The 27,125-nt window shown below is 39.8% G+C and overlaps 1 protein-coding gene across 26 annotated transcripts in view; it reads left to right on the top strand.

The window, feature by feature from the left end:
* SEL1L2 (SEL1L2 adaptor subunit of SYVN1 ubiquitin ligase) overlaps positions 1-27,125 on the top strand; it is a 146,087-nt gene that overhangs the window by 86,256 nt on the left and 32,706 nt on the right. For 19 of the 26 annotated variants that reach the window (NR_073207.2, NR_073206.2, XR_937162.2 and 16 more), the window contains 5 exons: positions 20,566-20,619; positions 21,077-21,136; positions 21,228-21,309; positions 22,636-22,790; positions 23,675-23,731. Coding sequence is in view for 19 of the 26 variants with exons in the window: in NM_001271539.2 (NP_001258468.1) it covers positions 20,566-20,619; positions 21,077-21,136; positions 21,228-21,309; positions 22,636-22,790; positions 23,675-23,731 (408 nt within the window). In the remaining 7 variants the exon portion in view is untranslated. Of the gene's footprint in view, positions 1-20,565; positions 20,620-21,076; positions 21,137-21,227; positions 21,310-22,635; positions 22,791-23,674; positions 23,732-27,125 lie in introns of those variants that run through there. The other 7 variants (NM_001363752.2, XM_047440522.1, XM_006723648.4 and 4 more) reach the window with 5 other exon arrangements.

Here is a 27,125-nt window from a genome sequence, read left to right as displayed (position 1 = left end):
TCTACTATCTCTGAGGGAAAAGGGAAGAACAGTCAGAAATAAGGAAATATAATAGATGAGAGGAGCCTGGAGTGCCAGAGGTCTGGTAGGGACCCTATTTAACAATAACAAGAACAAAAAGATAGGAATTCCTATTAAAGTGACATTGAGGAGATAGAAGGGAAGAAATGCAATTTCTGGGTATGTACAAAGGGAAGCTGGATGGAGGAAAGGAGGCATAATTACTTCTTTTCATGCACCTTTAGTGGTTTACCTTGCAAAAATTCAAATAAACTGAAGGAAATCCTGATAAGGGCAACAAAAGCAATTAAGGTTATAAACAGAGTCCATTAAATTGATTTTCAGAGATTCTGTACCTTTCAAATAATGAGAACTATTAATTAACGGAATAGTCTTCATGAAAATGGTGGAAATTGAGGAAATTTCAAACAATCATACCCTAGAAGATGTCCTATAAAATACTGTACTTTACCAGGCTGGAGGTAGATAAGTTATATATTTTTCTATTTCTCATTTCTCATCCAGGAAGCAGAAATTAGAATTATAAAGACTCACTCTTTCCTTAATATTGATGAACTGTCCTCAATAGGAAATTTGTTAATTTGCCAGACAAGAAGGTTGGATGAAATCTCATTTGCTTTAAGAGTCAAAAATGGCCAGACACGGTGGCTGACGCCTATGATCCCAACATTTTGGGAGGCTGAAGCAGGAGGATTGCTTGAGCCCAGGATTTTAAGACCAGCCCTGGCAACATGGTGAGAATCCTGTCTCTACAAAATTTAAAAAATTGAAATTAGCTGAGCATGATGGTGCATGCCTGTTGGTCCAGCTACTCGGGAGGCTAAGGCAGAAGGATCACTTGAGCCCAGGAGGTCAAGGCTGCAGTGAGCTGTGTTCGCACCACCACACTCCAGCCTGGGCAACAGAGCAAAACCCTGTCTCAAAAAAAAAAAAAAAAAAAAAAAAAAAAAAAAGAACCAAGAAATTGATCAGCCAGGCATGGTGGCTCCTGCCTTGTAATCCTAACACTTTGGGAGGCTGAGGCGGGAGATCACTTGAGCCCAGGAGTTCAAGACTACCCTGGGCAACATAGTAAGACCCTATCTTTACAAAAAAATATAAATAAGTAAGTATTAGCCAGGAGTGCTGGCACGTGCCGGGATGTGCCTGTAGTCCCAGCCACTTGGGAGGCTGAGGTGGGAGGATCACTTGAGCCCAGGAGGTTGAGGCTGCAGTGAGCTGTGATCATGTCACTACACTCCAGCCTGGGCAACAGAACCAGACCGTGTCCCTCAAATAAAGAAAAAAAAAGAAAAGAAAAGAAAAGAAAAGAAAGAAAGAAAGAAAGAAAGAAAGAAAGAAAGAAAGAAAGAAAGAGAAAGAAAGAAAGAAAGAGAAAAAGAGAAATTACTCATTTGCATTGTATTGCCCTTAAAGCTTAATTTAATGGTGGTGATCTCTAAGTGTGGTACTATTTGTGGCAATTATTTTCTGGGTTTATTTATTTCTGAGATAGGATCTTGCTCCATTGCCCAGGCTAGAGTGCAGGGGCGCAATCATGTCTCACTGTACCCTCAACTTCCTGGGCTTAAACAATCCTCCCACCTCAGCCTCCCAAGTAGCTAGGACTGCAAGCATAGGCCACCACACCAGGCTAATATTGTTTTAGTTTTTTTTTTAAGACAGGATTTCACTATGTTGCTCTGGCTGGTCTCAAACTCCTGGCCTCAAGTGATCCTCCAAACTCAGCTTTCCAAAGCACTGGGATCACAGGCATGAGCCACCTATTTTCTTTCAAAAAATGCTTTTCTGGTTTTTTTTCCCTCTAAATGTTTTATTCATGGGTATGTATTACCTTTGATATCAGAAAAAAATATTTAACTTAGATGTATACACTTCCTTGGTTACATAGTTTAAAATAGTTTTGCTGTGGATTATAAGAAAATTCATTCTATCATGTAAAAATAAACATCATTGACATATAAAAGAAAAAGATATGAGTGTTTCCCTATTTTATCATGCTTTATGATTCTATAATTATTCTATTTTAATGGCAAAGATTCCACATTTTCTTTATTTATTTCAAATTGAAATTATAAGGCCGGGTGTGGTGGCTCATGCCTGTAATCCCAGCATTTCAGGAGACTGAGGCGGGTGGATCACTTGAGGTCAGGAGTTTGAGATCAGCCTGGCCAACATGGTGAACCTCCGTCTCTACTAAAAATACAAAAATTAGCTGGATGTGGTGGCACGCGCCTGTAATCCCAGCTACTTGGGAGGCCGAGGCAGGAGAATGGCGGGAACCTGGGAGGCAGAGGTTGCAGTGAGCCTAGATGGGGCCACTGCACTCCAGCCTGGGTGACAGAGTGAGACGCTGTCTCAAAAAAATTTAAAAAATTAAAATACAGAAGCATTTCACAGAGAGACTATAGGTTATTAGAACTGTGCTAATACAGAAAAAAAAATTATTTTTAGTATCCACCTAATGATCATTTTGATAATTCTAGAATTACCTGCATTGAGCATTTCTTCTTGATGTTAATGTTCTTTTTGTATTAAAAGTACAGACAGTACCTGAGTTGTTCCTTAGGGTTGATTCACACTTTTGTTTGGTATGCAATTTGAGCTAAAAGTAATGATCACAGGTGCTTTCGAGCTTCATGCAATAATTAAAGGAAAATTGCTTAATCTTTTTTCTCCTTTAATAATAATTTCTTATATAAAAAGTAGAAGGAGGAATATTTAATGTTTAAATTGTTATTATGGAACTTGAGTAATTTACTTTGAAGTACAGTAAAATATTTGAACTTAACTCTGAACTCTATTAATTTAAATCCCAGCTACTGTAACAGTTCCTTAAAAACACAGCATAATGGTTAAGTTCAGAAATATGTCTTACAGGGGCTGGGAGCCCTGGCTTATGCCTGTAATGCCAGCACTTTGGGAGGCTGAGGCGGGCAGATCATTTTAGGTCAGGAGTTCGAGACCAGCCTGGCCAACATAGTGAAACCCCGTCTCAACTAAAAATACAAAAAATTAGCTGGGTATGGTGGTGCATGCTTGTAATCCCAGCCACTTGGAAGGCCGAGGCAGGAGAATCGCTTGAACCTGGGAGGTGGAGGTTGCAGTGAGCCGAGACTGCACCATTGCATTCCAGCCTGGGCGTCAAGAGTGAAACTCTGTCTCAAAAAAAAAAAAAAAAAAAAGGAAAAGAAAAAGAAATAAGTCTTACAAACAATTTGCTGAGCTTGACCTTTACAAACCACTGAAAGTGTCATTGGTATCATCACTATTATGTAGCTTCTCTTTCAATTCACAACATTTTTCTTTTCTGGATTAAGATTTAATCATTCTGTAATCCATCTCATTTTATCTCACCTTTATCTTAGAAAAGGACCAAATACTAAAAATGGACTATTGTAAAGTTGGTAAGTGACAATGCTCAAGTATTAAGGTATAGGACAGGCCAGGCATGGTGGCTTACACCTGTAATCCCAGCACTTTGGGAGGCCAAGGAGGGCGGATCATGAGGTCAGGAGATCGAGACCATTCTGGCTAACATGGTGAAACCCTGTCTCTACTAAAAAATACACCAAAAAATTAGCCGGGCATGGTGGTTGGTGCCTGTACTCCCAGCTACTCAGGAGGTTGAGGCAGAATGGCATGAACCTGGGAGGTGGAGCTTGCAGTGAGCTGAGATCACGCCACTGCACTCCAGCCCGGGTGACAAGAGTGAGACTCCGTCTCAAAAAAAAAAAAAAAAAAAAAGTTATAGGACAGTGCTTACTATAATCAACATATTTACTACACGATAGCCCGTAAGATCTTATGACTTCCTCTAGTGTCCTGGCATACTTCAAGTAGTATTTTAAAGATTAAATTAAAGCTGAGCCCTCCAGAGAATTAATTCAAAATCACCCATTGTTAGTTTTCTGCTAAAGAGAGTGGAAGTGTAACCCTGGGTTGATTATTTGAGGCTGGTAAAAGCATGGTTTTACTCTTTACTTTTAAGAATGAGCTTTATACTGAGGAATACGCCCCTCCCCAGTCACAGAATGGAAATACAACTCTCACACAACCCACTTCACAACTTCCTGAGCTCACAGATTTCTCCAGGAGGATCAGGCCAAATAGTTTGCCAGGCACCGCACAAAAGGATCCACTGTTGGTGAAAGTTTCTTAAAATACAAGCCCAACTCAATAGAACAGTATCTTTATTTTCTTATTTAAAAAAGGTCAGTATATTTGTTTACGTCAGTGTTTCTGCATAACTAAATTAGATTCTAAATTGAGCAGAATCAAGAATTGCCAAGAGTTGCAAGAAAAATAAAAATCTAATATTGGCAGAAGATATCCTTAAAAAGAGCCAATTTAGCCATTTATATATACGTTACAAGGGTGAGAGGAGTACCAGGATCCCAGATGCCTTCCATTGGCAGTAACAGCCTTTATGGTCCACTTTCCTAAAAGAGGAATGTTTAAGATTAGAGGAATTAGCAGAATCAGAGAGTATTTATTTATATATATATATTTATTTGTTTGTTTATTTTGAGATGGAGTCTTGCTCTGTCACCCAGGCTGGAGTAGAGTGGCGCCATCTCATCTCAATACAACCTCCACCTCCCAGGTTCAAGCGATTCTCCTGCCTCAGCCTCCCAAGTAACTGGGATTATAGGCTCACACCACCACAGCCAGCTAAGTTTTATCTTTTAGTAGAGACAGGGTTTCACCACGTTGGCCAGGCTGGTCTCAAACTCCTGACCTCAAGTGATCTGCTCACCTCGGCCTCCCAAAGTGCTGGGATCACAGGCGTGAGCCAGTGTGCCCGGCCAAATACATATATATTTTTTATTTTTGGTGTATGTATTAAATAAATGACACAAATTATGCTTATAAACTGCATGTTAGAGCTATAATGTTTTTAGGAAATGAACTCCATAGTCAATTTCCAAGTTTAAGGAGTTCTTTGTACTTGAAATTGTAATAAATGTAACTGAAATTATAATAAAAAGCTTTAAAAATTATGTACTTTTGTTTTAATTGAATTGTAAGACCTTGATGTATTTTGATTTTAGGAAGACATTTTACAGAGTCTCACATGATGTTCTCATGAACTAGATGAAAAAATAAAAATGTGGGCTTGATAATGGCAGTTGGAGAGTGGTAACACTAATAAACTAATGTCAAGGTGAAAGCAGGTCTCTGAAATACTCGACGGGATTCTCCTCGTGACCCTATGGGCTTCAAATACTTTTTTTTTCTTAAGATGGAGTCTCACTTTTTTGCCCAGGCTGAAGTGCAGTGGCATGATCTTGGCTCACTGCAACCTCCGTCTCCCCCCCGGGTTCAAGTGATTCTCCTGCCTCAGCCTCAGTAGTAGCTGGGATTACAGGCTCACCACCATGCCTGCCTAATTTTTGTATTTTTAGTAGAGACAGGGTTTCACCATGTTGATCAGGCTGGTCTCGAACTCCTGACCTCCAGAGATCTGCCTGCCTCGGCCTCCTAAATACTTCTTCGACTAGTCAGTTGAATAGCAAAGACTAGAGTGTTGCCAATAAGAAGGATAGAAAGAAAGGCATATTACCAATGGCACACATAAGTGTGTGGAATGAACTTCTAAGAATGGTGACAGAAATCATGAGCTCCAAATAAGTAGAACCTTGCAAATACTAGAAACACCCAAACAGACTTTTACAATTCTGCTCTGACAAAAAATGACTCTACTGAGAGAAGGAGTGAGGAGGAACCGTGAGAAAGTGATATTGATGATCTAAATCATCATCTACCATAGCACATCCATAGATAATGTGTGAAATATCTAAATTAAGCAACAGCAAATAGTAGCAATTTATCTAGAGTCATAACAATGGTAATTATCAGAACTGTTGAAATCATTAAAAGTGGTTGATCAGCTCTTCAGAACCATTTGAATTTTAACTTTTTTTTTTTTTTTTTTTGAGAAAGAGCCTTGCTCTGCTGCTCAGGCTGGAGTGCAGTGGCGCGATCTCACCTCACTGCAATCTTTGCCTCCCAGGTTCAAGAGACTCTCCTGTCTCAGCCTCCCAAGCAGCTGGGACTACAGCCCCCGCTACCAGTGGGTCCAGCTAATTTTTGTATTTTTAGTAGAGACGGGGTTTCACCATTTTGGACAGGATGGTCTCGATCTCTTGACCTCATGATCCGCCCGCCTTGGCTTCCCAAAGTACTGGGATTACAGGCGTGAGCCACCGCGCCTGGCCGGAATTTTACTTTTCATACACTTGCATTGATTAATTTGACAAAAATATTTTAAAAGTTAAATTTAGATATTAACTCTCTCCTCTCAAAATAATTGTTTTTAAAGAAAAAACCAGACGTTTTTTCTTCTACTAAAAAGGGACCAGCAATTTGGAAAATGTCAAATTCCAGGTGTGGAGAATAAATGTACAAGATGATCTTAAAACATCTTATCATACCTGATAGGAAGGATGGTGTCAGGAAATTAGAGTCATGACCAAGGGATGGAGGATCCAACTCAAATAGGCTCCCACCGGCTAAAGCTGGAATGATCAAGCACCAAAATGAATAATGATCGCAATGGACTGAAACATCTAAAATCATTTAAATCCATTTGTTCATAATGATACCTAGAAACAACACTTATTCATCACTTCAGGGGACATTAAAGAACCAACTCACATTATTTTGAAAACTGATCAAGGGAGTCAAGTATTTATCTTGCCTATTCTGCACAATAGAGTATGGGTGACATTTTTCTTTATAGAATTATTTCAGCTAATAAATGAAGAAGGAATGACAGAATTATAATGTCTTCATTGCCACCCCTAATCAATCAGTGGATCCGAGATAGGAGGTGGGACTCGATTCCAGAGGTAGAGCTTGGACACTGGACCAAATTGAGTACTAGCTAAAGCAGGGATGAGGTGGAAGCAGCTTTCCATAAGACACACCCACTAGTGTGCCATGTCAGTTTACCATTGCCATGGCAACACCCTGGAGTTACTGCCCTTTTCCGTGGCAATGAGCTGACAACCCAGAAATTACTACCCTTTTTCTGGAAATTTCTTCATAAACCACCCCTTAATCTATATGTAATTAAAAGTAAGTATGAAGGCCAGGGGCAGTGGCTCATGGCTGTAATTCCAGCACTTTGGAAGGCTGAGGCGGGTGGATTGCTTGAGGTCAGGAGTTTGAGACCAGCCTGGCCAACATGGTGAAACCCCGTCTCTACTAAAAATACAAAAAATTAGCCGGGCGTGGTGGCGGGCGCCTATAATCCCAGCTACTCCGGAGGCTGAGGCAGGAGAATGGCGGGAACCTGGGAGGCAGAGCTTGCAGTGAGCTGAGATCGTGCCAATGCACTCCAGCCTGGGCGACAGAGTGAGACTCCGTCTCAAAAAAAAAAAAGAAAAAAATTTGCAAAAAAAATTTAAAAAAAAGATTCCACAAAGAAAAATCTCAATTTATTTGAGAAATGGTAGCTTTGACTAGAAGCAATAAAACTACAAAATAATGACAAAAAGATAGCTTAGTCACATTTTTTATAAAATTACAAGTCTCCTAATTAATAGCAAAATAGAAATTGAAATAACATATTAAGCACTCAATCATGATGATAATACTACATAGTAAAAGTTACAGAATAGGGCTAATGCCAGACGCAGAAGAAAATATACAGCTTTACGTGTTTTAATAAACAAGAAATGGCCAGGCACAGTGGCTCACGCCTGTAATCCCAGCACTTTGGGAGGCTGAGGCGGGCAGATCACGAGGTCAGGAAATCGAGACCATCCTGGCTAACACGGTGAAACCCCGTCTCTACTAAAAATACAAAAAATTAGCCGGGCATGGGGGCAGGCGCCTGTAGTCCCAGCTACTCGGGAGGCTGAGGCAGGAGAATGGCATGAACCCGGGAGGCGGAGCTTGCAGTGAGCCGAGATCGCGCCACTGCACTCCAGCCTGGAGGACAGAGCAAGACTCCGTCTCAAAAAAAAAAAAAGAAAGAAAGAAAGAAAAAGAAAAAGAAAAGGAAAAAAAATTAACTCTAGCAAAATAAAGGTAGGACAAAAGGATTAGTAAACAAAAACTGAAATCAATATAATGAATTCGAGAACAAAGTCATTTATTTCATAAATAAAAACGAGATGATTCTTTAGTTCTTTAAAATGCTCCCAATAATGGGGACAAAACTCTAGCTGCTACTCATATAATAGGTGCATTTGGTTGTTGCCAGGTGAGCCCCCAATGACCATAAACAAGGAGGATTTAACAAGGGGATTTTATTACTTGAAACAAGTAAGGAGGACACCGGAGGTAGTGCCCCAAAGCAGTGCCCCTACAAACAGGCGTGAAAACCGAGCATGTCTTGGGCTGGTCAGCTGAATCATTGCGTGTAGAGAGGGAGTCCTGGCCGCACAGGCACAGCGGCGGATTATGTTTCTACATATGTCGCCTGTATAGAAAATGGAGAATAAGCTCCTCCCTGGGCCGGGTTTTTAAGATTATAACAATAAGAGTTCGCCAAAGTTCATCTCCTACTCAGCCATCTCTGGATCCAACTGTTTTTTGTTTTTCTGGGGCCGAGCTTCTCCAGGAACTTTTTGAAACAACAAGAACTCAAGGTGCAACAGTTACAAGTGGGCACTTTTTCAGTGTGTACCAGAAAACCCAGGGCCCCTGAGTTACATGACCAGTCTATCACAATTTTTTAAAAATAACTAATGGATAACATTGCAAATTTAAAAATAAAACCACAGATTGAAAGAAATGTAAGCAATTATGAGACAGTGCTATATTCAACTTTATGTGAATACATTAAAATCTAGATGAAATAAAGACATTTTCCAGAAAATATAAATCAGTTCCTCCTGTAGGGTATTATAGGTCACACTCATATCAGTGTGGTAGGAGCCTTGACTAGACCTATAACTATGGAACAAACTGAAAATGTCAAAGATAAGCCTCTCCAAAGACACTACACTCAGATGGTTTTACTGGGAAATTCTATAAAATAAAACCATCAGAAATTTTTTTCTATTATGTAAATCATTTTTAAAAAAGAAAATCTTTAAATATCATTCCAAAATGCCTTAATAAGAATCCAGAAGAGTAAAACAGGCAGATTTCATTTATGAACACCAATATAAGTTTTCTAAATAAAATTTTAGCGAATTGAAAAGCATGAAATTTAATCAAGTAGGATTTTTAACCAGAAATATTAAGATAATTCAACATTAAGAATACATTTTTGTAGCTTAATCTCAATAAAATAGCACCCTATCACTTTCTACCTACTTATCCTGCTTCAGTTTTCTTCATGGTACTTGCTGTGGTTTGAGTGTTTGTGTCCTCTCCAAAATCCATGTTGAAACTTAATGCCCAATTTAACAATATTAATAGGTGAGGCCTTCAGGAGGTGATTAAGCCATGAGGGTGGCACCCCCTGTATAGGACTAGGTGCCCTTATAAAAAAAAGGGCTTGAGGGAGGAAGTTCGTTCCTTCTGCCCTTCCACCCTCTGCCAGGGAAGGACACAGGCTTTGACTTTCTTGTTGATTTCTGTTACCTCCAGTGCAGAGGACAGTGCCTGGCACCATCTGCTTAGTAAATGCTGGTTAAGTGAATTTTATTATTATGCTAAGAAGAAAAAATATAAATAATTATAATACATGCTGAAAATAGAGTGATAAAATTCAACATTTGTTTCTGATTCTAAAAGTTAGTAAACTGAGAGCATTTAATTGAAATTATTAGCAAAATGTAATATATAATAGCAAACCACAACAGACATCCATATTAAAATCAGAAACAAAAAAAAGAATACATGCCATGACCACAATTCATTACATTGTTCTGGAAGTTTTACCCAATAAAGTAAAAGGAAATAAGAGTTACATGAAGGAACTTACAAAATTATTATTTACAGATGATATGTGTCAATTTAGTATACTCAAGAGAATATTTAAAAAACAATGGGTTAGTGTCACATGGCATCTTTTTAAATATAAATAAATAAATTGTAAAAATAAAAAACAGGCTGCGCACAGTGGCTCATGCCTGTAATCCCAGCACTTTGGGAGGCTGAGGTGGGCATATCACCTGAAGTCAGGAGTTCAAGACCAGCTGGCCAACATGGTGAAACCCCATCTCTACTAAAAATACAAAAATTATCTGGGCATGGTGGCAGGCACCTGTAATCCCAGATACTCGGGAGGGTGAGGCAGGAGAATCTCTTGAACCCGGGAGGCGGAGGTTGCAGTGAGCCGAGATCGGGCCATTGTACTCCAGCCTGGGTGACAAGGGCGAGACTCTGTCTCAAAATAAATAACTAAAAATAAAAAAACAATGGGAAGCCATTAAAAGGTGCTAAACAGGGCCCAGGTGACATAAGTAGATTTGGCTCTACCCATAAATGAAGAATGGACAGGAGGAGAACAAGCCTGGATACTACTACAATTGTCCTGATGAGAATTGAGACTAGCTCACAATAGCAGGTGCTGGAAGAAATGAATTAGAGAGATATTGTAGAGGTGAAATTCACTGGAAGTTGATGGTAAATTGGTTACTTGGGGTAAGAGAGTAGAAGGTATCTCAGATACCTCCTGTGTGGGGTTATAAATACGAGAGTTCTGGGAAAGAGAGCCGGAGACTCACTATACAGAATGTAGACTCTTCTAATACTCCTGTTTTCAGCCTTGTTCTTCACCCATATTCTTTAATGTGTCTGTGTCTCAAAGTCTGAAGTTTCCTTGGTTTAATTTCTCCAGGGAATAAGCCTCCCATCTCCAGTGGGGTCAGGGGATGGGCTATCTGCCTGGCTGCACAGGACAGGGGTTAGGACTGCTCTTTTTATAGACTTCTAATCAATACCCATGTGTCAGCTCCACCTACTGGGTGGAAACTAGACTCTTTGAGAGTCTGCTTTATGTTCTTTTGGTTATATACCCAGAAGTAGAATTGCTGGATCATATGATAATTATATTTTTTAATTTTTTAAGGAAACTGCATACTGTTTTCCATAGCAGCTGCACCATTTCACATTCCCACTAACAGTGCACAGGTTCCTATTTCTCCCCATTCTCACCAGCGGTTTTTATTTTCTGGGTTTTTTTGGGGTGTGTGTGTGTGTGTGTGTTTATAGTGGCCATCTTAACAGGTATGAAGTAATATCTTATTGTGGGGTTTTTTTTTGTTTTGTTTTTTTGTTTTTGAGAGGGAGTTTTCGCTCTTGTTGCCCAGGCTGGAGTGCAGTGGCACGATCTTGGCTCACTTCAACCTCCACCTTTTGGGTTCAAGCGATTCTCCTGCCTCAGTCTCCCTAGTAGCTGGGATTACAGGCATGCATCACCATGCCCGGGCTCTTATTGTGGTTTTGACTTGCATTCCTTAATGATTAGTGATGTTGAGCACCTTGATATTGAGCACATTTTCATATACCTGTTGGCCATTTGTATATCTTCTTTGGAGAAATATGTATTCAAGTTCTTTACCCATTTTAAAAATTGGGGTACTTGGGGGTTTTTGTTATTGAGTTGTAAGAATTTTTATACATTCTGGATGTTAATCCCTTAACAGATATATGGTTTGCAAATATTTTCTCCACTTCCATAGATTGCTGTTTTACTGTATCAATTGTTTCCTTTCCTACTTTTTAAAGTTTGGTATAGTCCCACTTGTCCATTTTTGCTTTGGTTGTCTGCACATTTGTTGTGATATCCAAGAAATCACTGCCAAATCCAATGTCATGAAGCTTTTCCTCTATAGTTTCTTTGAGGAGTTTTATAGTTTCAGGACTTACTTTTGGTCTATTCCATTTTTAGCTAACTTTTGTATATGATCTAGAGTAAGGGTCCAACTACATTCTTTTGCATGTGGATATCCAGTTTTCCCAGCCCCATTTGTTGAAGAGACTATCCTTTCCCCATTGTGCAGCCTTGTCATCCTTGTCAAAGATCATTTGACCTTGTATGTGAGGTTTTGTTTGTGTTTTATGCATTCTGTTCCATTGGTCTAAATGTCTGTCTTTATACCAGTACTACACGATTTTGACTACTGTAGGTTTGTAGAATGTTTTGAGATCAGGAAATATGAGGCCTCCCATTTTGTTTTTCTTTCTCAAGATTGTTTTGGCTATGCATGGTTCTTTTGCAATTCCGTATAAATTTTAGGATGGGTTTTTCTATTTCTGCAAAAAATAACATTGATATTTTAATAGGGATTGCATTAAATCTGTAATTGTTTTGAGTAGTATGAGGATTTTAACAATCTTAAGTCTCACAATCCATCAACACAGCTGTCTTCTTATTGATTTGTATCTTCTTTCATTTATTTCAGCAATGTTTTGTAGTGATTTCTGTAAAAGTCTTTTACCTTTTTAGTTAAGTTTATTCCTAAGTATTTTATCTTTTTAATGCTATTGTAAGTGGAAGTGTTTTCTTTTCTTCCTTGGATTTTTTTCTTAATTATTCGTTGCTAGTATATAGGTACACAACTGATTTTTGCATGTTGTTTTTGTGTCCTGCAGCTTTGCTGAATTCATTTATTAGTTTTTTGTGTGTGGGGGGGGGGGGAGTTGTTTGTTTATTTGTTTGTTTTTGTTTTTGTTTTGAGACTGCGTCCCACTCTGTCGCCCAGGCTGGAGTGCAATGGAGTGATCTCAGCTCACTGCAAGCTCCACCTTCCGGGTTCACGCCATTCTCCTGCCTCAGCCTCCCTAGTAGCTGGGACTACAGGCGCCCCCCACCGTGCCCAGCTAATTTTTGTATTTTTAATAGAGACGGGGTTTCACCATGTTGGCCAGGATGGTCTTGATATCTTGACCTTGTGATCCACCCACCTCGGCCTCCCCAAGGGCTGGGATTACAGGCGTGAGCCACCGTGCTCGGCCTGTTTGTTTGTTTTTGAGATGGGGCCTCACTCTGTTGCCCAGGCTAGAGTGCCGTGGCACGATCTCAGCTTGCTGCAACCTCCGCCTCCCAGGTTCAAATGATTCTCATGCCTCATCCTCCCGCATAACTGGAATTACAGGCACCTGCCACCACGCTTGCCTAATTTTTTTGTATTTTCAGTAGAGATGGAGTTTTGCTATGTTGGCCAGGCTGGTCTCAAACCCCTGACCTCAAGCAACCCACCCGCCTCAGCCTACCAAAATGCTGGGATTACAGGCGTGAGCCACCACACCTGGTCCATTTATTAGTTTTAACAGTTTGTGTGTGTGTGTCTAATCTTTAGGAATTCTACGTGTAAGATCATGTCATCTGGGAATAGAGATAATTTTACTTCTTCCTTTCCAATTTGGATAACTTTTATTTCTTTTTATTGCCTAATTGCTCTGGCTAGGACTTCCATGACTATGCTGAATGGAAGTAGCAAAAGTGGGCATCTTTGCCTTGATCCTGATCTTAGAAAGCATTCAGTTTTTTACCATTGGGTATGATGTAAGCTGTAAGCTTTTATATACGGCCTTTTATTATGTTGAGGCAATTTCCTTCTAGTCCTTGTTTGTTGAGTGTTTTTCTCACAAAAGCATGTTGAAGTTTTCAAATATTTTTTATCCATCAATGGCTTTTGTCCTCCATTCAGTTAATGTGTTGTATTATGGTAACTGGCTTTTTTTTTTTTTTTTTTTTAGGACAAGATCTGGCTCTATTTCCCAGGCTGGAGTGCAGTGCAGTGGCGTGATCTTGGCTCACTGCAACCTCCACCTCCTGGGCTCAATTCATCCTCCTACCACAGCCTCCCAAGTAGCTGGGAATACAGGCATGCACCACCATGCCCAGCTAATTTTCATATTTTTTATAGAGACAAGGTTTTGCCATGTTGGCCAGGCTGGTCTCAAACTCGTGAGCTCATGCAATCTGCCCACTTAGGCTTCCTAAAGTGCTGGGATTACAGGCATGAGCCACTGCTCCAGCCTGATTGACTTTTATATGTTGAAACATTCTTGTATTTCAGGAGTAAGTTCCTCTTGGTTATGGTGTATAATCCTTTTAATGTGCCATGAATTCAGTTTGCTAGTATTTTGTTGAGGATTTGGGCATCAATATTCAGGTATATTGGTCTATGGTTTTCTTGTAGTGTCTTTGTCTAGTTTTGGAATCAGGATAATGCTGGCCTCATGGAAAGTTTGGAAAATGTGAAGGATTTCTGTTAATTCTTCTTAGATTTTTCGTAGAATTCTCTAGTGAAGCCATTTGGTCCTGGGCTTTTCTTTGTCGGGAGGTTTCTGATTACTGATTCAATCTACTAACTAGTTACAAATCGTTCAGATCTGCTATTTCTTCAAAACTCAGTATTGGTAGGTTGTATTTTTCCAGCAATTAATCCATTTGTTTTAAGTTATCCAGTTTGTTGGTGCATAATTGTTCATAACAGTATGATCCTTTTTATTACTGTGGCATCATTTGTAATGTCTCCTCTTTCACTTCTGAATTTTGTTGAGTCTTCTCTATTGTCTTGTTGATCTAGCTAAAGGTTTGCAAATTTTGTTAATTTTTTGTTTGTTTGTTTTGATTTGTGAACCGAAGTCTTGCTCTGTTGCCCAGGCTGGAGAGCAGTGGTGTGACCTCTGCTTACAGCAACCTCCACCTCCTGGGTTCAAATGATTCTCCTGCCTCAGCCTCCCCAATAGCTGGGATTACAGGTGCCTGCCACCATGCTTGGCTAATTTTTGTATTTTTATTAAAGACGGGGTTTTGCCATTTTGGCCAGCTTGGTCTCGAACTCCTGACCTCAGATGATCCACCCACCTTGGCCTCCCAAAGTGCTGAGATTACAGGCATGAGCCACTGCACCTGGCCAGACTTTTGTTGATATTTTTAAAAAACCTAACTTTTAGTTTTGTTGACTTCTTGGTATTGGCTTTCTAGTCTCTTTTATTTCTACTCTAATCTTTAGTACTTCCTTTCTTCTGCTAACTTTGGGTCTGGTTTGTTCTTTTTTTAGTTCTTTGAGGTATAAAGTTAGGTTGTTTATTTGAGATCTTCTTTAGTAATGCATTTTATATTATATACTGCTCTAAACTTCCCTCTTAGCATCTTATGGGATGCTTTACTGCATCCCCATAAGTTTTGGTGTGTTTTGTTGTTTGTTTTCATTTTTCTCAAGATGTTTTCTAATTTCCCTTGTGATTTCTTCTTTGACTCATTTGTTGCTCAAGAATATGTCATTTTGTTTTCACATATTTGTGAAGTTTTTTGTTTTCCTTTGCTGTTGATTTCTAGTTTCATTCCATTGGGTTTGGAAAAGATATTTGGTATGATTTAAATATTCTTAAATTTGTTGAGACTTGTTTTCTGTCCCAAAATATGATCTATCTTGGAGACTGTTTTTGTGCGCCCTTGAGAATAATGTATACTTTTGCTCCTGTAAAGTAGAATGTTCCACATATGTCTGTTTGGTCCAACTGGTCTGTAATGGATCTTATTGTGTAAATACAATAAGGTCTTTTGTTATTGATCTTCTATCTGATTGTTCTATTTAATATTGAATGTGGGGTATTGAAATCTCCTACTGTTGCGTTACTTTCTATTTCTTCCTTCAGTTCTGTCAATATTTTCTTCATATGGTTGGATGCTTTGCTCTTAGATGCATATATATTTATACTTGTTACATCTTTCTAATGAAGCGAACCTTTTATCATTATATAATGTTCTTCTTTGTCTCTTAGGACAATTTTTGGCTTAAAGTCAGTTTTCTCTGATATAAGTAGGGCTGCTCTGGCTCTTTTTTGGTTACCATTTGCCTGTGTTAACAAAAGATCAATGAGTTCTGTGGAGGAAAAGGGGGAACTTTATTTTCTAAAAGCAATCTGCAGATTGGAGAGATGCAGCCTTCAGTGCAAAATCGAAGTGTGACCTGAGGTGGGAGTTGGAAAGTTGGAGATTATAAAGGCCAAAAACACAGGGCAGGGGAGGGGAATCAGGGGAGTGGGGAACAGAGTCTTGATTAAATGACCATTTCACCAGTCTGTCTTAATTAGCTGGTTCCAGGTGTTCAGTTGGGAGGCACCAGGTGGTCTGTTGGGGTCAATTGAAGAATTTCTAGCTGCAGTTATTTTCAGAAATTGTTCTTTGACTTGGTTGTGGAAAAACAGGTTTTATAATGCTTTCCAAGGACACAGAAAGTGTGACCATTTCTTCACCCTGCCATATAACTCTTGGTTCTGCTTTCATCTTTTCAGCCACAGGGAGTCCATCTTGTCTGTTAAGCAGGGGCATAATTTGACACATGGAATATCTTTGTCTATCCTTTAATGTTCAGCCTATGTGTGTCCTTATACTAATGTGAATCTCCTATAGACAGTGTATACCTGAAACTTGTTTTCTTATTCATTCAGTCACTCTATATCTTTTTATTTGGAAGTTTAATCCATTTACGTCTAAAGCAATCACTGATAGGGAAGGAATCACTATTGCTGTTTTGTTATTTTTTTCTGTACATCTTGTAGTTATTTTGTCCTTCTTTTCCTCTCTTACTGCATTCCTTTGTTTTTAGTTGTGTGTGTTTGTTTTTGTTTTGGTGGTGTGCTTTGATTCCTTTTTCATTTTCTTTGTGCATCCTCAATGCACATTTTCTTTGTGATTACCATGAATAATTTATAAAATATCTTATACTTTTTTTTTTTTTGAGATGGAGTCTCATTCTGTAGCCCAGGCTGGAGTGCAACGGTGTGATCTCAGCTCACTGCAACTTCCACCTCTCAGGTTCAAGCAATTCTCCTGCCTCAGCTTCCCAAGTAGCTGGGATTACAGGTGCCTGCCATCATATGGTGGCTGATTTTCATATTTTTGTACAGATGGCATTTCACCATGTTGGCCAGGCTGATTTTAAGCTCCTGACCTCAGGTGATCCATTCACCTCGGCCTCCCAAAGTGCTGGGATTACAGGCATGAGGCACAATGGATGGCTAAAATATCTTATAACAATCTATATTAAACTGATAATGACAATGTCAATCACACACAAAATCTCAAGTCATTTATATATCCCCACCACTGTATGTTATCAACTTCACAAATTACATCTTTTTACTACTTTATATACTTTAAATGTAGTTTTATTGTTATAATTATTTCTGTTTTGTCTTTTAAATTGTATACCAGAATTGATTTATGCACCACCATTACAATACTACAGAATTCTGTATTTGTCTACATACATACCTTTTCATAGAGCTTTATAATTTCATATGCTTTTGTGTTGCTTTCTAGAGTTCTAGAGTCCTTTCTTTTCAACTTATAGGACTTCCTTTAGCAATTCCTTCAAAGCAGGTCTAGTGATGATAAACTCCCTCAGCGTTTGTTTGTCTGGGAAGGGCTTTATTCTTCTTTCATTTTTGAAGGACACTTTCACCAAATATAGTGTTTTTGGTGGACAGCTTTGTCTTTTCCTTTTTTTTTTTTTTTTTTTTTTGATGGAGTCTTGCTCTGTCACCAGGCTAGAGTGCAGTGGCATGATCTTGGCTCACTGCAACCTCCACCTCCTGGGTTCAAGTGATTCTCCTGCCTCAGCCTCCCAAGTAGCTGGGACTACAGGCATGCACCACCATGCCCAGCTAATTTTTGTATTTTTAGTAGAGACAGGGTTTCACCATGTTGGCCAGGAGGGTCTCAATCTCTTGATCTTGTGGTCCGCCCACCTTGGCCTCCCAAAGTACTGGGATTACAGGTGTGCACCACTGCGCCTGGCCTGGACAGCTTTTTCTTTCAGCATTTTGAATATATTATCCCATCCTTTTCTGGTCTGTAATGTTTCTGCTGAGAAATCTGCTGATAATGTTACAGGGACTTCCTTTTATGTGACCAGTGGCTTTTCTCTTGCTGTTTTTAACATTCTTTACCATTGACTTTTGAAAACTTGATTGTAATGTGTCTTGGTTTGGGGCTCTTCGGGTTCATCTCACTTGGAATCCTTTGATATTCTTGAATTTAGATGCCTATTTCCTTCCTCAGATTTGTGAGTTTTCAATCATTTAATCTTCAAATATCCTCTCTGTCCCTTTCTCTCTCTTCTTCTTCTGAGACTCTCATAATGTATATATTGTTCCACTTGATGGTATCCCATAAGTCCCTTAGGCTTTCTTTACTTTTCTTCATTCCTTTTTCTTTTTGTTCCTCTAACTCAATAATTTCAAATGACCTATGTTCATGTTTGCTGATTCTTCAGTTTCATCAACTCTATTATTGAATTCCTTTAGTGCATTTCTAAAATTCAGATATAGTATTCTTCAGCTTCAGAATTTCTGTTTTTTTAATAGTTTCTCTTTGTTGATATTCTCATTGTGTTCATGCATCATTTTCCAGATTTTGTTTTCTTTATTCTCTTATGGTTCATTGAGCTTCTTCAAGATGATTATTCTAAATTATTTGTTAGGTAAGTCATTATTTGGTGTTTCTTTAAGGTTGATTTCAGGATATTTTGTTCCTTTCATAGGACCATCTTTTCCTGTTTCCTGGTGTGCCTTGTTGTTGTTGTTGTTGTTATTATTTTGCTACGATTTGTGCACTTAAAAAAACAGCTATCTCTCCTAGTCTTTATAGACTAGCTTCGTATGTGAAAGGTCTTCACCAATCAGCACAGTTAAAAATTCTGAGAGCTTCTTGAACCTTTTCTGGGGATGCATCTTCTCTGGGCTTGTGTAAGTTATTTCCCAATTAGAGTGGTTTGCCAGTTTTTTTTTTTCTTCCAGGAGTTTATAATCTCTTTCTCCTTCTGTCTGTGGTACTGCAAGTTCTCTGGCACTGCAGTAAGCCATTGAGCTCTTTTGTTCTCAGTAGCCCCTAGGGATGGAAAATATACTGGCTCTGTCAGCACTGTGAGTTAGGTGAGGAAAAAAACCAGTCACTGGAACAGCCCCCTGAAAAGTCATGTGTTCCTTTCTTCTCTTTCCCTCCCAAGGTAGAAACTGTCAGTTGGGCTTTTTCTCCTGAAAGCACCAAGCTGTGCTGGCTTGAGGGAGGAGGGATCATGGGTGAAATTAAATGGCTTTTCTTACCTGTTTCACGGACTATTCTTGGCTTTGAGCTTGCCTGCTGTCCTATGACTTCTTAACTGGTTTCTGGAGTTCTCAAAAAGGCTTTTTTGATCATTTATAATTAAATCATTGTCCCTGTGAGGGAATGCAGTCTGAGGCTTCCTATTCCATCATCTTGCTCTGTGCTCAGCCTTTGATTTTTTTATTCTGTATATTTGTTATTGTTTGAATATTTTACATCCATCACGTTAAAATTAATGTGAAGAAAAGTATCCAAATCTAAATGGGCTTTTTTTGTTTTTTGTTTTTTTTGAGACGGAGTCTCACTCTGTCACCCAGGCTGGAGTGCAGTGGCGCGATCTTGGTGCACTGCAAGCTCCGCCTCCCGGGTTCACACCATTCTCCTGCCTCAGCCTCCCGAGCAGCTGGGACTACAGGCCCCCGCTACCACGCCCAGCTAATTTTTTGTATTTTTAGTAGAGACAGGGTTTCACTGTGTTAGCCAGGATGGTCTCGATCTCCTGACCTCGTGATCCACCCACCTCAGCCTCCCAAAGTGCTGGGATTACAGGTGTGAGCCACCGCACCCAGCCTAAATGTTTTAAATATTGAAGGAAAAATATTTCGTTTCCAAGAAAGGAAAGTATATAAGGGCCCTTGGTTTTATTGCTATAATTTATACTAAAGCACAGTAAGAATTAGCCTATATTCATGTATATTACACAAACCTCCCACTATTGTGAGCTTTCCCAAATTCCTGCAGCCTTAATAAAAATGTAAAAGGGTGCTGTTATAGTATAAAAAATAAATTAACAATGGCCAGGCGTGGTGGCTCACGCCTGTAATCCCAGCACTTTGGGAGGCCGAGGCAGGTGGGTCACTTGAGGTCAGCCTGGCCTTAGATGAAACCCCATCTGGTCAGCTGAGACCAGCCTGGCCAACATGGTGAAACCCCATCTCTACTAAAAATACAAAAATTAGCCAGTGTGGTGGTGGGCACCTGTAATTCCAGCTACTTGGGCAGCTGAGGCAGGAAAAATCACTTGAACCCAGGAGGTAGAGGTTGCAGTGGGCTGAGACTGCACCATTGCACTCCAGCCTGGGCAACAAGACTGAAATTTCGTCTCAAAAAAAAAAAAAAGAAAAGAAAAGAAAGAGGCCGGGAGCAGTGGCTCACGCCTGTAATCCCAACACTTTGGGAGGCCGAGGCGGGTAGATCACGAGGTCAGGAGATCAAGACCATCCTGGCCAACAGGGTGAAGCCCCATCTCTACTAAAAATACAAAAAAAAAAAAAAATAGCGGGGCGTGGTGGCTGGAGCCTGTAGTCCCAGCTACTCGAGAGACTGAGGCAGGAGAATCACTTGAACCCTGGAGGCAGAGATTGCAGTGAGCCGAGATCTCGCCACTGCACTTCAGCCTGGGCGACAGAGTGAGACTCTGTCTCAAAAAAAAAAAAAAAAAAAAAGAGAAAGAAAGAAATTAACAATGCAAATTATTATGAAGCAGACATTTAAGATATCCCTTATCCATATAGATAATTAGGAAATAAATTGATTTATTAAATTTTGTTTCTTCTTTTGTGCTTTAGGCATTAGGATTTTTGTCTTCTTATGGAATAGGAATGGAATATGATCAAGCTAAGGTAAAGATCATTCTGTTTTATTCTGGAACAAAATTGATTTCTCTAAAAGGGACATTGAATAAAATCTACTCATTAAGTAAAGGGGCTCACTCTAGTGTAGTAGTTGAAAACACCAACTTAATAGTCAAAGAAATTTAGTGTTCTTATGCCATAAGTTTCTTAAAGCCTCATGAGTCAGCCTCTTCATTGAAGATAGATAATATCTGCTTCATAAGGAAATTATGATGATTAAATGAAATATCTTATACAATGCCCTTATCACAGACTCCAGAGATTAGTTAACCCCTAATAAATGGCAAACATCTTTACAAAGGAGAGTGAAATTTGAAATTTATTTTGGAGTAACTCAATGGGTCATTATGGAGCTAGGAATAAAAATGGAATACTTGGTTTGAGTTTCAAATTTAAATGGCCAACCTGGTTTGGGGGGTTTTTTGTTTGTTTGTTTTTACTTTAGGCACTGATATATTACACCTTTGGAAGTGCTGGAGGAAACATGATGTCCCAGATGATTTTGGTTTGTAAACAAAATATTCTTGGAACCAAATTTGTATGCCATAAATACAGCATTGTCTTGAATATTAAGAATGCATCTGTCTGTGTTTTAGGGGTACAGATATTTGTCGGGAATCAATGTTCTACAGAATTGTGAAGTTGCCCTAAGTTATTACAAGAAAGTGGCAGATTATAGTAAGTAATCCACATAATTTATTTTAAAATAAACAGTTGCCAAGGAATTAGAAAAATAAATCAATAACAGTTCAATTGATATAAACTTATGAAAATATCAAAAGTGTACGTTTTTAATATGTTATAATACAATTCTTTTAACATAATACAGTTTCTGTTTCCTTAATAGTTACTTTCCAAATGGTTTTAAAAGATTATACTCATTTTTTATTTTTGTTAATATGTATCCCCAAACAATTCTGTTTTACTTGCCTTTGTGATGTTCTTTCCTTACTGAGAATTTGAATGTAGCACCGATAAATATTAAGCAGTTTCCCTAAATATAACATTCAGAATATGGGATGACTGCCAAAAATTCCTAAAGGAATGAATGTAAGGTATACATTGGAGGTATCTGTCACCACATATGAGAACAATTCAAGCAACCATTAGTCTAAATGTAATCAGAATAATGTCTAAGCACACATCTTTGGCATTATTAGGATCTGAGAAAAGAAAGAAGGAGGAAAAAAACTAGTTTTGAATTTAAGATGCTGTATATAATGAGATCATTTCATGTGTTTAATGAAATTGGAATTACTATATATATTTCAAACTGCACACTTTGTTAGGTGTATTCAAGCATATCTATCTTTATATTTATTTTCAGACTATCCATAGGAAGTAATTAAAGAGCAGTGATTATTCCTATATTATAGTCTTAGTCCCAGAAAAAAATTATGAATGGAATGAGTTATCTGCTCCTAAAATATCCCCTTTCCTTGAGTCTTTTTGGTCAAGATCTTCAGTAGAGTCTGATATAAGTTGATACCATACTTGTATAGGTTGCAAAGAAGAACTAGAGAACCCAATAAACAAAAATTGCACTTTTTTTTTTTTTTGAGACAGAGTATCCCTCTGTCATCCATGTTGGAGCACAGTGGCTCAATCTCGGCTCACTGCAGCCTCTGCCTCCTGGGTTCAAGTGATTCTCATGCCTCAGCTTCCCAGGTATCTGGGATTACAGGTGTGCACCACCATACCTGGCTAATTTTTGTATTTTTAGTAGAGACGGGGTTTCACCATGTTGGCCAGGCAGGTCTCAAACTCCTAACCTCAAGTGATTTGCCCGCCTCTGCCTCCCAAAGTGCTGGGATTACAGACATGAGCAACCGCACCTGGCCAAAAATCTGAAAATTTCTATTTTTCATGGATCTTCTGTCTCTATTAGTTGAACAGATTTCTGCACAATTTAAGATAATAAGCTAACGGTGTTTTCTCTAAATTGACTGTTATCTCTTGCAGCCTCTGTTTTCTAGCTATTCTCTGGCTTGTTTTTATTCACAGTTGCTGACACATTTGAAAAAAGTGAAGGTGTTCCAGTGGAAAAAGTGAGACTAACGGAAAGACCTGAAAATCTGAGTTCTAACAGTGAGATTTTGGATTGGGACATATACCAATACTATAAATTTTTGGCAGAAAGAGGAGATGTTCAGATACAAGTAATGTATACAGATGAGATTGAGTTTTTAGAACATGAAAATTACAAGGGGCTTAATTCTTTCTGAGTCCTGGAGGGATGAACAATGCCCCATCCTAAATAGGAATGGGGGGAGACCCGCCCTCCTCTCTCACCCTACTCCTGTTTTGTTCCCTGCTACTTACAGTTCCTGTAGCCCACTGGAGAACTAGTTGCCATAATAATAGCAACTTTTTTGCATTTCTTCCTTAAAAATTAATTTTTTTTTTTTTTGAGTTGGAGTCTCACTCTGTCGCCCGGGCTGGAGTGCAGTGGCACAATCTCGGCTCACTGCAAGCTCCGCCTCCCGAGTTCACACCATTCTCCTGCCTCAGCCTCCCAAGTAGCTGGGACTACAGGTGCCCACACCACCACGCCTGGCTAATTTTTTGTATTTTTAGTAGAGACAGGGTTTCACCATGTTAGCCAGGATGGTCTCGATCTCCTGACCTCGTGATCTGCCCATCTCGGCCTCCCAAAGTGCTGGGATTACAGGCGTGAGCCACTGCGCCCAACCCCAATGTTGGTTTTAGTATGAATAAACTACGGCAATCCAGAAAGGTTCTGTTTTTGGGAATGGGACAGTATTTGCATGATCTTTGAGAGCCAAGAGCTAAGGCCCCTAGCTTTATGTGCCTGGGTGTTTCTGTACCCCAGAAGACCAGCTTCCAGCCACTAAGGAAGCCATATGTCCAGCAGCAACCAATTACCCAATAAATGATATAGTCTGGAATGTTTCCCTGATTTTTTCAGGACATTTCAAACGTGTCCAACAATCAACATACTAAAGTAAAATCACCACATAAATGTTTTCTTTATTTAAAGTAATACTGCTGCTAAAATCATTTCCAAACTCATCATTCCTAGGTCTCTCTTGGACAATTACATCTAATTGGCAGGAAAGGTCTAGATCAGGATTACTACGTAAGTCAATCTCAAGATCCAGTCAAATGGGGTGGGGAAGGTAGTGGTGAGGGAGGCTGGCAGGGAAGTGAAAGCAGGGGGAGGGAGAGGTGGAAGAGTTGCTCAGAAAGCCCACTGATGCTTCCTTGGTCAGCTATGCTTCCCAGCTTCTTAGGAAGAACTAAGTTCTCCAGAGGGAGCACTTACCCACCTGCCTTCAAGAACAAAGGGGAAGGGACTTCTGAGGAGCAATCGAGGCAGGGGGGTATCCATGTTCCAACAGAACCTAGTTCTGCGCACTCACACGCACTTTGGGCTGGGATTAGGAGAGAGAATATCCCCACCTGCCGGCCTGCACACAAGGCCAGCTGCAGAGTCCACCTGGGGATCACCGTTAAGGAGTCTGAGAGGCAACTTCATCCCCATTTGGCTATATCAGAAGACAGATTGCTTTTAATATAATTAAAAATATATTAAACATCCTTATACATTTGCAAAGCTCTTTTCAATCATTTTGCTTAACCTTACCTTATCCCAGTGAGGTTAAAAGGTTAATTAACCGGCCAGGTACGGTGGCTCATGCCTGTAATCTCAGCACTTTGGGAGGCTGAGGCAGGCGGATCACGAGATCAGGATATTGAGTCCATCCTGGCGAACACGGTGAAACCCCGTCTCTACTAAAATTACAAAAAATTAGCCGGGCGTGGTGGCACGTGCCTGTAATCTCAGCTACTCGGGAAGCTGAGGCAGGAGAATCACTTGCACCTGGGAGGCACAGGTTGCAGTGAGCCCAGATCATGCCACTGCACTACAGTCTGGGTGACAGAGCCAGACTCCCTCTAAAAATAAAAAAATAAAAAAAATAAATAAGTTAATTAACCATTCAAATGTGTAGCGAAGAAAAAAGCAAATGAACAAATGAACTTCACCTTGACATACACAGGATCCTCCTCTGTAAGATGCCAGGGTCATGGGATGAGTTCTTGCTTAGATTTTGATAGTGGTTTCAAGGCCCTACATCACCACAGACCTGGGAAGTAACTGGATTTTTTTTTTTAAAGATGATTTTGCTGCTCTTTTCATTTATAGGAGCCACATGCTCCTTGTCTCAAAGGAACATGTAGCCTATTTCAACATAGTCCCAATGGCTAAGTGATAGAAACAACTTTATAAGGCTATTACGTAAAAAAGTAATCTGTTACTACTTTGCATTTCATTTTGTGTTATTTTATGGATGTGTCTTTGGTACTATAATTTGTATTTTATATGAGATCCAGTAAACATCAGGTAAATGTCGAAGTCATTTCATAAACTGTGATAAAATAGGTAGGAATTTAAATAAGCATACGCACCCCAAGACAGCTCGGTTGAAGATCCATAGATTTTCTTTCATCTTAATCATAACCAAAGTTCTAGCTTCTTAGATGGAAATATCTGGATTCATAATTTTACTCTGTCAGATTTCAGCCTGCAATGAGTTTCTCATGTTAATCATAGAATATGTAACTAGGAAGACGTCCTCATTTTCCATAAACATGAAATTTGGATGTGAGGGCATCCTAGCTTCAGCTGTAGGGAAGACAAACCAATCTTTGTACAGTGCAATAAAATCCCACTAAGTTGGTACTTCAGTCAGCTCCAGCCACTGTGGTCACCAGATGGCAGCTGCAGCTGCCTCCAGGTGAGGATGAAGTGCAATCCCAGGGCTGCTGTTGCAGGATCCCAGAGCTGTTGTGTAGCAGCCAGGCAGCTGAGTGTCACCCAGGAGCCCAGCCAGGATCTCCTGTGGGCTCATTCACGAGGTTTTATTACATCTGTTTTACAAATGAGAAGCAGAGGCTGGAGACATAAAGTAAATTGCTTCAAGGCTCACAGCTGGGAAGTAAGATTGTTTAAGAAGCAGAATTTGAACTCAGGCCTTCAGAAATCAAAACCTGAGCTTTTTACATTAAACTTTATTTGACCCAGGCCAAAACAAAAAACAGCCTCTAAAATCTGTTCCCTCATTTATAAAGCAAGAAGAAGAAATGACATGATCTCTCAGTTTCCTTTAGCTCTTCCTGATAGTGGGTTGGGCCTCCTGCTTCCACATATCCCAAGAAGACGAGTTTAATTCCAGAACCATCCTTGTGATGCAGGTACTCTTTGCGGGTAAGCACAGGCTGGTCCTTTCTTCTCCCCTCAGCCTAATGACCCTGAACTTGAATGGAGAACTCCAGTTGAAATCTCAAACTTTAAGACAAATTGAGGCCAGGCGCGGTGGCTCACGCCTGTAATCCCAGCACTTTGGGAGGCCGAGGCGGGCGGATCACGAGGTCAGGAGATCGAGACCATCCTGGCTAAAACGGTGAAACCCCGTCTCTACTAAAAACACACAAAAAAAATTAGCCGGGCGTAGTGGCGGGCGCCTGTAGTCCCAGCTACTTGGGAGGCTGAGGCAGGAGAATGGCGTGAACCCGGGAGGCGGAGCTTGCAGTGAGCCGAGATCCCGCCACTGCACTCCAGCCTGGGCGACAGAGCGAGACTCCGTCTCAAAAAAAAAAAAAAAAAAAAAAGACAAATTGACTTATCTATCAGTTATCTTTGTCTGCATTTTTAAAAAAATAGTCCCAAACTTAGGTGGTTTTCAATAATAACCATTTATTTAATTCATGATTTTGGCAGGTCAGCAATTTTGGTTAGCCTCAGCTGAGCAATTCTGATCTGGGCCAGGCTCAGCTAATCTTAGCTGGGCTTGCTCATGCATCTGCAGTTAGCTGGAACATTAGCTAGAGCTGGCTGGTTTATGATGGCTTCATCTGTGACTGCGAGAATGACTGGGGCCCCTCTCCATGTGGTCTCATGCTTTAGCCAACTGGCCCAAGCTTTCCACATGGCAGTCAAAGTTCTAAGAACACCAGAGCAGAAGTCTCTTGAGGCCTGAGCTCAGAACTGACAAGTCACTTCTGCCACATTCTTTTGGCCAAAGCAAATCACAAGGCCAGCAAACTTGGAGGGGTAGGGAAATGGGCTTCTCCTCTCAATGGGCAGAGCTGCAAAGTACTGTGGTCATTCTTGCAACATACCATAGTGTAGCTGCTCCAGAATCAACTTGGAATGGCAGGGGAGATACATAAGGGAGAGGGAAGATACAAAGATAAATCCAGTTTCCAAAAGGCTATTACTGCAGCTCTTTTCATACCTCGCTTCTCATCTTTCCAAGTCTCTCCTCCTCAGACAGGATAATGTTTTCTTTTCTTTTTATTTTCTTTTTTAATTGACTCATAATAATTGTACATATTTATGGGATACAATGTGATGTTTTGATCATTACATAATATATTCATTATGTAATATATACATATGTATGCAAATGTAGTGTATACATTATGTAATGATCAAACCAGGGTAATTTGCAAATCCATCACCACAAATA

The sequence above is a fragment of the Homo sapiens genome, chromosome 20 (genome assembly GCF_000001405.40).
Source record: "Homo sapiens chromosome 20, GRCh38.p14 Primary Assembly".
NCBI lineage: Eukaryota > Metazoa > Chordata > Mammalia > Primates > Hominidae > Homo > Homo sapiens.
Note: the sequence above shows the minus strand (reverse complement) of the source record. Positions and strands in the feature narration are given on the sequence as shown.